Raw genomic sequence first — 13,703 nt, forward strand, 5'->3', positions numbered from 1 at the left:
CAATTAAAAAATATACACCTTGCTTACACCATATACAAAATTCAACTCAAGTTTGATTAAAGACTTAAATGTAAAACCCCAAATTATAAAAACCCTGGAAGACAGCCTAGGCAACACAATTCTAGACACAGGAAATGGTAAATATTTTATGACAAAGATGCCAAAAGCAATCAAAATAAAAGCAAAAGTTGACAAATGGGATCTAATTAAACTTAACAGCTTCTGCACAGCAAAGAAACCATCAACAGAATAAACAGACAACCTACAGAATGGGAGAACATTTTTGCAAACTATGCATCTGAAAAAGGTCTAATATCCAACATCTATAAGGAAGTTCAACAAATTTACAAGAAAAAAAAAAAACTCCACTAAAAAGTGGGCAAAGGACATGAACAGATGCTTTTCAAAAGAACATATACCTACAGCCAACAAGCATATGAAAAAAAGCTCAATATCACTGATCATTAGAGAAATGCAAATCAAAACCACAATGAGATGCCATCTCACACCAGTCAGAATGGCTATTAAAAAGTCAAAAAATAACAGATGCTGGTGAGGTTACAGAGAAAAGGGAACACTTAAACACTGTTAGTGGGAGTATAAATTAGTTTAAACATTGTGGAAAACAGTGTGGTGATTCCTCAAAGACCTAAAAACAGAGCTACCATTCAACCCAGTAATCCCATTACTGGGTATATACCCAGCAGAATATAAATTATCCTACTATAAAGACATATGCACACATATGTTAACTGCAGCACTAGTCACAAAATAACAAAGACACAGAATCAGCCGGTGCAGTGGCTCACGTCTATAATCCCAGCACTTTGGGAGGCCGAGGCAGGTGGGTCACTTGAGGTCAGGAGTTCGAGATGAGCCTGGCCAACATGGCAAAACCCTATCTCTACTAATAATACAAAAAAAAAAAAATTAGCTGGGTGTGGTGGCCTGCACCTGTAGTCCCAGCTAGTCGGGAGGCTGAGGCACGAGAATTACTTGAACCCAGGAGGCGGAGGTTTCAGTGAGCTGAGATAGCACCTTTGCCCTCCAGCCTGAGTGACAGAGTGAAGCTGTGTCTCAGAAAAAACAAAAAACAAAGCAAAACAAAAACAAAGACATGGAATCAACCTAAATGCCCATCAATGGCAGATTGGATGAAGAAAATGTGGTACATATACACTGCGGAATACTATGCAGCCATAACAAAGAATGAGATGATGTCCTTTGCAGGAAAATGGATGGAGCTGGAGGCCATTATCCTTAGCAAATTATGCAGGAACAGAAAACGAAATACTGCATTTTCTCACTTATAAGTGGGAGCTACATGACGAGAACACGTGGACACAAAGAGGGAAACAACCGACACTGGGACTTACTTGAGTGTGAAGTGTGGGAGGAGGGTGAGGATCAGAAAAAAATAACTACTGAGTACTAGGCTTAGTACCTCGGTGACAGAATAATCTAGACAACAAACCACTGTGACATGAGTTTACTTATATAACAAACCTGCAATATGTGCCCCTGAACCTAAAATAAAAGTTTTTGAAAATTCACAATTAAAGAAAAATTAGCTTTTCAAACTAGGTTTGAAGTCAGTGAGAAAAATAAAAAGATTTTACCCATTATTCTAAATTCTGGCAGTTATATGACTGTGACAGTTTAATTATTAAACTTGTATCACAGCCTGAGTAATCTCACCTAAAGATCTCAGAGAAAACTATCAAACTTCATTTACTGTAGAGCAAAGCCATATTTTATTTATAAAGGTGTGTCCACATTAACCATAATGTAATATTTTTGGTTTAGCATTGAAATCGTTTCAACCTTTCACATTAAATAAGTAATACTACTTAAGATTAAACTTTGTGTGCAAATGTCTATGTGAGGAAAACATGCCTAAGGTAAACAAATATCCCAGTCAGCATTTCCCAGTCTACACGGGCTATAGATTTACCCTTTAATTCATGTTGAGTCACTTTGTGGATCAAAGATCTACACTCACCTGGGAGAACTGTTTGTTTAGTTCTTGGAGAGAAGACTCTAAAAGGGTCATGTTAGAAAGGCAAAATTTGTTAAAAACATTTCTTCCTAGAAAGGTCCAAGAGAAGGCATCATCCACAATGTATCCTGAATAGCTGTCACATAGTTCTCTTCGTATATCTTCTGAAGTTGAATTTTGCTTTAACAGCTAAAAGCATGTGTGAAAAGAGTAAAATAAGAGTGTTAATAAATGTAGATGTTCAAATATTCTATTCTTCAAGGAATCTAAGCTGTCTTCAAAATAGCCATTTTGAGGTCCTCCATTATAGCAGCTATTAAAATAACAATAAAGTAGATAGAGTTTACCCATGAAACTTGTAGAGCGAATGCATGAATGTGGTAAATTCTTGTCATTGTTATTATTTAAATGATTTATATATGAATTGTTTGACTGAACTCATTTCTTGTCTCTGACCAGAAAACCTCAATGCACAGAGTCTTTGCTTACAAAAATCTTCACGCATAAAAATCTTATTCACTTTTTCTGGACATTGAGTAGCAGAAACTCAGGTGTCCTAACTCTTCATGGCACTCATAGGAAACTGGTTGTGATCTTTGGAAGATTTCCAACAGAAGGAGCTTCGAGGTCTATTCCTAGGATGAACAGTGTTTATTTACAGAAGTGTACAAATATAGATTGCTTCATTTGCAAAGCAGTTCTTCCATCTAAGTCTTATATATAGAAAGAAAAAGGAAAACGTATGTGAAAATGTATAATAGCAGGCATAACTACTAAAAGTAGTCATTGGAAATCATTTTCGTAATGGAATCATCATAATCTCCCTATATATTTCATAATTCAGGCCAGTCACAGATATAGCAGTATTTTACCCATAATGTTGATCATATTTACCATTATTAAGTTGTTTAGATATTTACAGAGCTGATGATAGTTAGTTGTCAGACTTAAGGGGTCCATCTTAATAATTAATTCTTATTACTCCATGAGGTGAGGTCAATTTCATCCTCCCCTTAAGTGTGTATTACAAAACCTACATGCTACCTTCTAGTGACTCAAATTCTAAAAGTAATGGAACAAGACAGAATCCACTTATCTAGGATGTACTATAAGTGTTAGGCCTTCTAGTCATTCATCCGTATCTCTCTTCTAACATTCCACATAAACTCACCCAAAAATGATTTCTCTACTCATTCTTGCAAGTGTTGCAGAAAGCAGTAAAGAGAAAGAAAGAGGAATCAGAGAGATTGCTGACATAGGCATCAATATATCATCCTAATTTTTACATCCCTTCCCTGCTCCAACTACTCTAAAAATATGTATCCATACATAGAAATTTCATTTTTGGCTTATCTCCCCTGGATATATAGCTCTGTGCTGCCTCACAAAATTCTGAAATTCTATTCCATATGAGAAAGATAACTTGGGAGTTTCAATATGACAAAGTAGCATTTTGGAGAATAGCATTGCTCTTCTAGATATTAAAGAATTTATCTGATCCAATGCAAGACTGTCTACTTCTAGGAACCAATATGTAAGAACTGGAATGGAATAGAATAATGTTCTCTAATTTATACACTGTGCTTGATTGGGGGAAGCTTTAGACTGGAATTAACTGGGCATATTGAGAGACTTCTATGCCAGACAAAAAACATTAGAAGCCTCAAATATTATGTAAACTAGACTTTCAATGTCTAGATTGGACAGATTGAAAGGTCCTCTATTTTGGCCAGCATGGGCAGAGTTGATGAGTGTGATGCCATTTCCTGGAGTCCGCTTTTGTGCTGGCCTTTGGCTCATTTATATAACTCAGTTTATTGAAATGCCTCAGTTAAACAGAGTATTAATTTAAGTATAACTAACAAAGTCATATTAAGTAGCAGTGGTTATGGTTACTGGAATGTTAATAAATGTTAAAGACATGTCTCATGATCAGATAAAAGAAATGGTTGCTATATAAGATATAGATATATTATTAAAAACGCTAGTGTGTGTGTGTGTGTGTGTGTGTGTGTGTGTGTGTGTGAAGGTGATGGGGGAAGGAGAGAAGAAAGGTGAGTGGGAGAGAGAGAGAGAGAATAGTATCTCTAATGCCAAATGTTGAAAATGAAGTCTTTTCATGTCTAAAGAGCACATAAAACAGGACTTAAATACCTATGGGACCAGCCAAATAACTTAAATATATTAATCTGGCCAGATGAAAGACAATAAGGGGAAGTAGAGATTGTAGTTACAAAGAGCACGTGTTCTGCCTAAAGGCATTCACATTCAATTTCTTAAAATCTCCGTACACACACTCACACACACATTTAGCTCACAGGCTGCCAGTTTACACCTCTGATAGAAATTATGTTCATTATCTTGCAATCTGGGAAATCTTAAAGTAGATGATCTCTAGGAAACAGAGAAATCGATAAGTAAGCTCTCTAAAATACGCTAAGAAAAAGGATTTTCCTACTTTGGGGCAATATTTTCCTTAGCTCTAATTTTTCCCAAGACTTGATTAGTATGGATGAGGCAGCAAATTCGAAGAGCATTATAACTTCATTTGGTCTTTTTTTCTTTCCTGCTTCAGAAAATTAAAACATCACATATTATGCCACCCTAATTTCTTACTAAGTGAAAACTTTAAGTTCAATTAAGGGACTTAACAGGGAAGTAAATAAATACTCAAGATATTAAGGAATTCAGAATGTCTTAAAATTAAGCTGTTTATTGAAGGGTTCCTAAGAAAAGAAGTTGCCTGAGATATTACCCTAAATAGGAAAGGTGCTCCAAACATCTTGCTATTTGAGAGATCCTTCTATTAACCTAAAAGGCCTATGTTGAATCACTCTACCCATTACAAAATTGAATCAAGTTACCTTTTCCAAGCCAAGAATTCGTGCGAGCACTTGACTGCCATTGAAAGTATATGTTCCGGGGATTTCCAAATCAGAACTTGGACTGGGAAATACTGTGGCTGTAATCAAAGAAGGAACAGATTAGCATTCCACACACACACACACAAATGCACAGGACCACATGAGAATCCATAAACATCACTTGTGACCTCATATACCCTACAGCAAGGATGTGCTCAAACATGCCTCTTCCATGGAAGTTTTATACTGGAAAAGTGGCAAATTCCATGAGTTTTTCTTTTCATATAAAATTGTGATGACTTTGGTCTGTTCTTGTTGTTTATCCAATCATTTAGATGTCATTTGCTTTCATTCCAGTCGGTGACATTAAACTTCATCACCAACATTATTGCCCAATAAACCGAATCATTTCTGTGCAGGCCTGGAGGATTTGAGGTGCCTACACTAGCTCCACAGATCCATCATATCCAACATCTGTTCAAAGGATCTGCCAATGCACATCTGGTGATAATGGTCTTTTCTTTTAATTATCCAATTGGGACACCGAAATCTGCTTAGAATCATAAATTCTCTCCTCAAAGTGGTTTCTGAATGATATTTTAGATCAAATAAATGGGATAAAGCCATTAGCCTGGACTACATACAGTATACTCTAATTAAGTAATTCCCAATGCATCTACATCTAGTATTATTTATTTATGATGTGGCAGAGTTTTCTGGGTTTGGAGCATTAGCTAGAAGACGACATTCCTATCTATAACATGGATGTTCATTAAGCCAGTATATTGACCTTTATAAATTTAATACAGAAGTCTTTTGTCATCCTCAGAGCAAAGAATCTTAATATTCAATGGTACCAGTGACTCATCAGCAGTAGGGCCTAGGCTTTATTTTTGTGCCCACAGGGCTGAAGAATTTGCCATCTGATTCCTTTAGACTATGGCAATATATTTGTGAGATAACTGGCCAGAGTGAGAAACATAATCTGTGGCTACCAAGCAAAGCAAAGCTTACTGGACCATAACATTATAACCTTATTTCTACGGTGCTTTAACCTACTCAGCCAAAGACCCACAGATCATTCATAACAGAACATTAACTCCTCAAAACCATTCACCACCATGTTCCTGCTACATTAACATAGGACTTTTTTTTTTACTTGCTCCATCAACTTGCATTGGAATGTTATTGAATATCATAAAGTCTTAAATATCCCATGGCCTTTTAAAGAAACTCCCTTTTTATCCAGAGCACCAATCATATTTCAACGTACAGGAATCTTGTTTTGTTCACTAATATATCCCCAGCCCCTAAGACAGTGGCTGCTTAGTATTAGGGACTTAGTAAATATTTGTCAATGAATGTTAGCCAGTCGTGCTGTTTCGAGCGTTTATTTTTTTTAACATGTGGCTTCTAATCAGTGTTTCTCAAGTCCACTTGCAACTGAATCACTCGCACCTAAGGCTCAGAAACGCATGTTTTGAGGGAGCAACTCAGGAAGAGTCTCTGCACGTGAAAATTTGAGAGCTACTGGCCTAGATGTGAAGCAAGTCCACAGTCACACTGAAGACTGTGATACTAAGCCTTAAGTGTGAGGAAGAAGTGTACAGCTGAAAGAGTACTGGCCTGGAAGTCCTTCTAATGCCAGCTCTGCTGTATGGCTGTAGATACAGCACTTAACTTTGTTGAGCCTCATATTTCTCATCTGTAAAATGGAAAATCTGGACAAACCTCTGAGATTCTTTCCAAAAATTTTTATTAATGGGCTTTCTAACCCATCCCAGCATCATCTAATTGCAGACAACTAAAGAGTCTAGAGTCAGTTCTGGGAAATGGTGCAATTCTCAACATGTAGGCTTTTGCTCCTATGGAGTATTTCAGTAAGAACTTAATTTCTAATTATTTTCAACACCTTTGCGTAATTGCACCGCCATACTCAGGCAACCATGAGGAACGTTTAGATCTCACAGGGCTATTCTAAGCATTCCTTCTTTGTTTGAAAAGTTTAAAGTATAAACCTTTCAAAGATTAGACCTTTACTGTTCCATAAGGCTTGTTCTGAACTCTACAGAAGAAAATAGCTTACCTAGTGATGCATGCCTTCTTTCTGGAACTTGGGTGCTCTGGAATGATAAACTGCTGTCCTTATCCAGGTTGGATGACTTTCTCAGAATCTCACTAGAGAAGAAAAAGCAAGAACTCTGTAACTTCTCCCACATTAATTTTAGTTACAGCAATGTATTATGTGGCAGATTCCAGGGCTGTCTGAGGACTTTCAAATATTTAATATAGTTTCCAGGATTTTAATGGAAGAATTCACCTAACCACACACCAATGAATATATAAGGTCTCCTACAAAGTATATTTTTATTCAGAGAAAATGGCCTAGATGAAGTTTAAAATAGTTATTTTTACTTTAATCTTGTAGAAAGGACATTTTAAAAGACATTAGAGATAAATACTTAAAATATGTATGATATATATTTTTCTTTTAAAAAGTTGATAGGTCCCAAACAAATGAGAATCCAAGAGTGCTTTGGGGACTGAAACAAAGGTCTGCTTATTTGTCAACATTAAAAGAAAAATAAGTTTTCTATGTTAAATTATAGATGGCCTTTTAAAGATTTTCAACACAGGTTCAAGGAAGAAGAGAAAGGCCAAACATTTATTGAATACCCAGTATGTGCCAGGAATTGTGGTTGATGTCATCACAGATGGCACCAAGTATAAAAGGAATAACATTAAAATAAATTTTCCATTGCATTGAATGTGTCAAGGCAGTAATAATTACATTGTGGTGCCAGGAATCCCTGTGCAACATGATCACACTAGGTTTTAGAAGAAGACATTGCTGGGCCTTCCCACAATTAGTAACCCCCTCTTTTCTAAAAATTCGCTTTTTGTTTAGTTTGTTATTAAAATGGAGATGATCACATTTTCTTGAAAACTGGATGTATCTAAAAGCTCGTGCCTAAAATAAGTATGTATGTTTCAAAAATAAAATCAGTCTAAATGCCAGGATGCAAATAATTTTTAGAATTCCAAAAAGTTGGTGTATTTTATGTAGTTATTTATAAAAACCTTAAGGTACGTAACAATGGCTATAAAAAGATAATGGAAAAGCAAGAAATTCTGCTTACTACCATGGTTCAACTTGACTTCTGTTTTAGAAACAAGATCTGAATCCTAGTTCCAGGGTACTTTGTGTTTATAATTGGAAAAAGAAAAAGAAGTGATATTTGTTTTCATTCCCTAGTGTTTTTCCAATATTCTCCATAAAATGTACTTTTTGCTCCAAAAGTTCTGCATTCTTAATATATATTTGAATTATTCATGACCCTGACTGTATGCCCCTAATCTTTTTACATTCCTTATGCTGACTACGTGATGGGAAAATTGTTCAGGTAAAAATAAGAAATGACCTGAACATTTTCCCTTTTCTCAAAAAGAAGTTTTAGAAAGTTTGAGAAAGTTGAGTTTACTTTTCTTTTTCTCGACATTTTTTTAGTTTGGCTTGAAATCCTATGAGGACTACTGAATATCAACACATTTTGAAGACAAAAGCAAAAACTGCCTTCATAAAAATTTAAGGACTAGGGACAGCAACAAAAACAAAAGGGAGGATGACAAAGATCAAAATGAGCAATGGAAAGAGCAAGAGAAAATAGACTCAATAATGAATGGTGGTGAGGAAGTGGGAAGAAAAGAAAGAAGAGGCAATAGGAAACTAAGCAAGTGTGCTCTTGGAGAAGCAAAAGCTGCATCTGCTCCACGGAGGACACTTTACTCATCTTCCCACATTCAGAAACGAAACCTAAAATTACTCCTACAAATAGCATTTAAACACCATGGAAAGACAAACTCATTCCCTTCTCAGCAAGCAGCTGGCTCTGCAGCTCTGAGCTTGCTCAACAGTAAAATGACTGCTCCTAGACAAGGACGCACAGCAGCTCCCATTCTAACAGCACCTTTCTCTCACCAGGAAGTGCCCAGTGTGACATGGTTGCCCACATCTTTTATGTAGCCTTAATGTGTCTTTTTTTTGGAAGCAAGAGTTGGATATCATGTGTGCTTTCCTCTTCCCCTTCCTGAAAATATTCTCCAGCTTCATTTTGCATTGACAAGGTGTGGTGTGACAGCACGTGTCTACTCCCATCACACATCAAAACTGTTTTCTTTAAACTCTTAAAATGGAAATCACAAAATAAATGTACAACAGAGTATGTGCATAAAAAGATGAATTAATGCTGTAAATTGAAACACAGCTACTTTCCCCCCAAACAAAGGTAATTAATTCTATTAACTCCCTATTAAATTACTTAAAGAGGGCAAGAAAGTAGCTGGTCTTGCTGAGTTAATGGCATTCCCTGAAGTTTCTAATGAGCAGGATCATGTTTATAGACAAAGCACTACATGCTTCTTAGAACAGTGGTTGAGAAATAGCACCTTCCTGTTACTTCACACAAGCACTTAGTGCACACTTATTTCATATCTATCTGTACCTATTCCCACCACTTTTTCTATTTCAGCTGTGACATCTTTAGGAAAAGCTGCCATGTCTTATTTATCTTTATATTCCCAATATCTAACATAGTATAGGACCATAAGATCTGATGGCTGATTAAATAAAAAGAGACCATATTGTTGGGGTATGGCAGAAAGTACTTTATAGAGTTAGAAGATATCTTCAGAATTTCAGCTCTCTCTTCCTAAAAGATCTCAGCCATCATCTCCCTCACCAGCAAATTAGCAATAATAACACCTACTTTGCAAGGTTGTTATGAGTATGATATGAGGTGTGTGTACCAAGAGTCTCTCTGGGCCCTGTCATCATAGGTACTCATCAATATTAGCTCTTGGTCAGAGTACCCACAAAAGAAGATGTTGCAAAGATGCAACCTTCACCATCAATATGGAGCTGGAGGCCCATATTTTAGATGTAATCCCTTTAGAATCCTAGAAACTTCAAAAGCTCCGGATACCAAATGGATGTATCCCATTATTTTATAGATCTGGAACCTACAAGTATTTACTAGTGATATGGAATGAGGCACAGGCCCTCACCCAGAGCCGTGTAACCCCTTCCTCATTTTATGAGTTTATGTAACTTTTATCTGTTTATGAGATAAATATTCCACCAGTAGTGTTTACCAATTTCCCCCTTTTTAGAGTGTAAGGTTCTTAAGAAAAGCCTACAGTGTATTATGTTGGCAGATAGTAGGATGTTTAGCACATGACAAGCACTGGATACTTGATAATGAGGAACATTACTTGGAACAACTTACCACTAAAGCAACTTTTTTTAAATGGCTGTGGCCTGCTCTCCATTGTTGCATATCTGATTCTGCAAGGATCCTTAGAAAAGGAAACACCCAGCCACAGCCCCAAAGTTATCATCTTACATCGTACCTACCATATTCATTCATTAACTCACCAACATTGATTACATTCTTATTATATGTAAAATAATGGGCAAGTAAAATAAGAAAACCAGGGATTATGGTACATTAATGAGAATAGCTAAGTAAGGACATGTGCAAAGGAGGACTGGAACACATGACAGGGCCCCTAAATCTGAGTTAGTCCCATTTGTGTTTGTTATAGAGCAATATCCTTACTCACATCCTTAATGCAAGCCTCTTGCAACCAGAAACATTTTTCCTTCAGCCTTCTATTAGCCCAGTGGTTTTCAAGTGTGGATAATACCCCTACCCCGGGGGACATTTGGCAATGTCTGGAGACATATTTGGTTGTCACAACTGTGCGTGGAGTGTCACTGGCATCTAGTGAGTAGAGGCCAGGGGTGCTGCTGAACATCCTACAATGCACAACACAACAAAGAATTATCTGGTCCCAGTTATGAGTAGTTGAGAATCAAGGTTGAGAAACCCTGTGCAATGACAGATAATGGAATTATTCAACTCATCCCCATTTCCAGTCCCCATGACCAAACCAAATCAGGAGAGATAAAAATCCTATTCAGGAACTCTAAATAGCTCCAAGGAAGTCTCAGAGACTCTATCTCATACTGGATATCTCTGGGAAGCATATGAAAGTACTGCACAAAACTTAGCTGTCCACTGAATTCGGGACATAGGCCCATCTGATTCCAGAAAATTCAACCCTCTGGGTGAACCAACAAAACCTGAGTCAAATCACCAAGTGGCCCATGGCATCAGCTTACTAACTTCTACTGGACCCGGCCACATGCACGGTACGATGGGCATGGCTAAGGGCCACTCCTCTAAGATAGTGAAGATGTAGATTCTGCCTCAGTGACATTTATAGGGCTCTATTTTGGAGTGGAATTCAATACAGGAAACATTTTGGATTTAAGAATTCCATCATTCTGAGGAAAAAAAAACTAAACACTGAATAGATTTTACTTGTTCTCAGACATGTCTACCAATAGTTACGTTCAGGAAATGTCACATTTATATATATCGTCTTAATGGTAAAATGCATGTACTTCCACTGGGTGTCTTTTTCCTATGAGTAGGAAACGTCACTACCTGTATAAGTGGTACTGTGTGCCATGGCATAATCTATTTATAAGAGGAATTCCTATCAGGAAAGGGACATATGGCAAATCCTGGAAAGAAAATTCTGACATTATTTTTTGTCTCTAAGGGTTAGTTAAATTTGTATATGTATTTTTTCTCATTTCCCCAGAATTAGAATTACATGGGTATGTAGTGGCACCTGGAAACATATGAGATTTTCTGCAAGTCTAGTTCTGATCCCACTTCCAGATGACATTTGTCATTAACTTTTAACTGCAAATAAGGACTAAGGACACTGTAATGGTCTTGAGGCCCCCTCAGTGATTTGACGCAGTTGTCCTTCCTGGATATCCCAAACACAAGTCACCCACAGGAGAATTTTAATTGTTTTAATTATTCATATTTCATCCTGACCCTCATTCCCTAAGGGTCATCCATACTTCAGCTATGGATATCTGTCCACATTCCAAACATATATCTCTTATAAGTGGCCCAGTTACAATCCAACAATCCATATCAGTTAAAACATTAAGATTTAGAAATGACTTAATATGTTACTGTGTCTTAGGGTTTTTTATATTCTTAGGAAAGACTTTGGAGTTAGTTATAGTATATAGTGAGTAGAGGCTAACTAATACATTTCTAAAATTTGTCAGGCTATTATTATGGGCAGATTAGGGGGTATCCTACATGTGTCAGGAACACATAGAATATGGGGAGAAGGAGATAACACCACTGTGTCTCTCAGATGACACTGTGCAGATTATGTTCTACCTAACCATGAAACAAGCAGATTAATTTGGCAACACTGCAAGGAAATGTGTAATCTCTCCATCACAGTCAGTAGCAAAGCTGTCTGCCTATTCCTGTACGCCAACTATGCAACTGCCTCTATTTTTCCCTTTCACTGAATTCTGGCATTCTTTCTCCATGACCTATCTCAAATATACATTCTGCTATTCTGGTAACCACCACCCTATCTGTTCTCAATGACGACACTCTTAAAAGCCTCTGAAATAACTCTCCTGGCATCTGCCCACCCACACTTATCTCCACTTCACTAATACACTCTCCAGTAAGATCCATATTCCTCAGGCAGAAACAATGTCTTATGGTACCTGTGTAACTATTCACCATTTGTTGTCTAATATTCTGGGCACAGTGACACTTAAACAGACATTCATTACATTTACCATGTTATATAGCAGTTTACGTGTTATCTTGTCTCTCCGTCTCTCTTTCCCACTTGAACTGTAAGTTTATATAGGGCAAGGCATATGCCTCATGCATTTCTGTATCTATAGTGACTTGCATAGCCTCCAGCATGCTGTACGAATTCATTATATTCTTATTGAATGAATGGTTGTGCTTACATAATAATTAAGACATTCTTCTACTTTGTTTTTTGATAAATAAAATTTTAACCATTCTTTTTTCACTTTTATCAATTTTATTTCATAATGATCAATGTTTCTGTTTAAATTACATGTAATTATGTTCCAATTCATGTATCTCTTTGTGATTTTAACTATGTAGTAACAAAAATGTAATACTAAAACAAGCTAGAGGAAAGTTTAAAACTCTTAAATTCTTATTGCCCTTTCTTTTTACGCTGATTTTAGCTAAAATGGTTACTAAATGGTTATAAATTAATCTAAAATTAATACAAGAAGAGACCTCTACATCCTTTCTCATCTATATAACCAAATGAAGGCAAACACCTGTTTTACTTCCAGTTATCTTACACTCCTAATAATATCTTTTGGTCAGTTTCTAAGTTCATCCATATTTTTCAATATTAAACAAAAGCCTTGGCACTTTAAAATTTGACCCGACTAAACTCTGATTAAATATTTTTTCAAGTTCTGCAAGAGCCATATAATAGGAGCAGAGGTACGAATTTAGAAGCCGCAGGTCATGAATGAGTGTCAACAGAAATAGGGAGCAAATCCACAGAGGAAACTGCCCCCAGGATCTCAGGAAAGCTGAATCCCTTCTCCAAATAATGACCCTGTATGCTCTAGGGGATGATCTTTGCTATTCGCCAACTGTGTGAGCAATGGCACATGGCCAGGGGCTCCCACTGTGCTGATAGATTCTGAGAGGCAGTGTAAGGAGGAAAGAAAAGGGTAAGATCTGTGATGTTGGATCATCTGTTGTGCAAATGAGCAAGAAAACCATAAACGTAATAGTTTCTTTTTTCAGACAGCTAGTTAGAGTCGATGCTGAGTACAGTGTTGGATTTTTTTTTAAACATCTCATCCTGAAGCTAATGCTTAGAGATGTATAAATTTAATAACAGAAGGCTGGTGCCAGACGCAAAATCACATCAAAACA

At 36.8% G+C, this 13,703-nt stretch overlaps 1 protein-coding gene across 3 annotated transcripts in view; it reads right to left on the reverse strand.

Annotated features, from left to right (window-relative positions):
• Nucleotides 1–13,703, reverse strand: part of ABCA12 (ATP binding cassette subfamily A member 12) — a 207,085-nt gene that overhangs the window by 116,082 nt on the left and 77,300 nt on the right. For 2 of the 3 annotated variants that reach the window (NM_173076.3, XM_011510951.3), the window contains exons 4-6: nt 6,950–7,041; nt 4,864–4,961; nt 2,003–2,188 (exon numbers count right to left, since the gene is read on the reverse strand). In NM_173076.3, the coding sequence (NP_775099.2) occupies nt 2,003–2,188; nt 4,864–4,961; nt 6,950–7,041 (376 nt within the window). Of the gene's footprint in view, nt 1–2,002; nt 2,189–3,170; nt 3,195–4,863; nt 4,962–6,949; nt 7,042–13,703 lie in introns of all 3 variants that reach the window. The other variant, NR_103740.2, reaches the window with a different exon arrangement.

Source organism: Homo sapiens, chromosome 2, assembly GCF_000001405.40.
Source record: "Homo sapiens chromosome 2, GRCh38.p14 Primary Assembly".
NCBI classification, from domain to species: domain Eukaryota; kingdom Metazoa; phylum Chordata; class Mammalia; order Primates; family Hominidae; genus Homo; species Homo sapiens.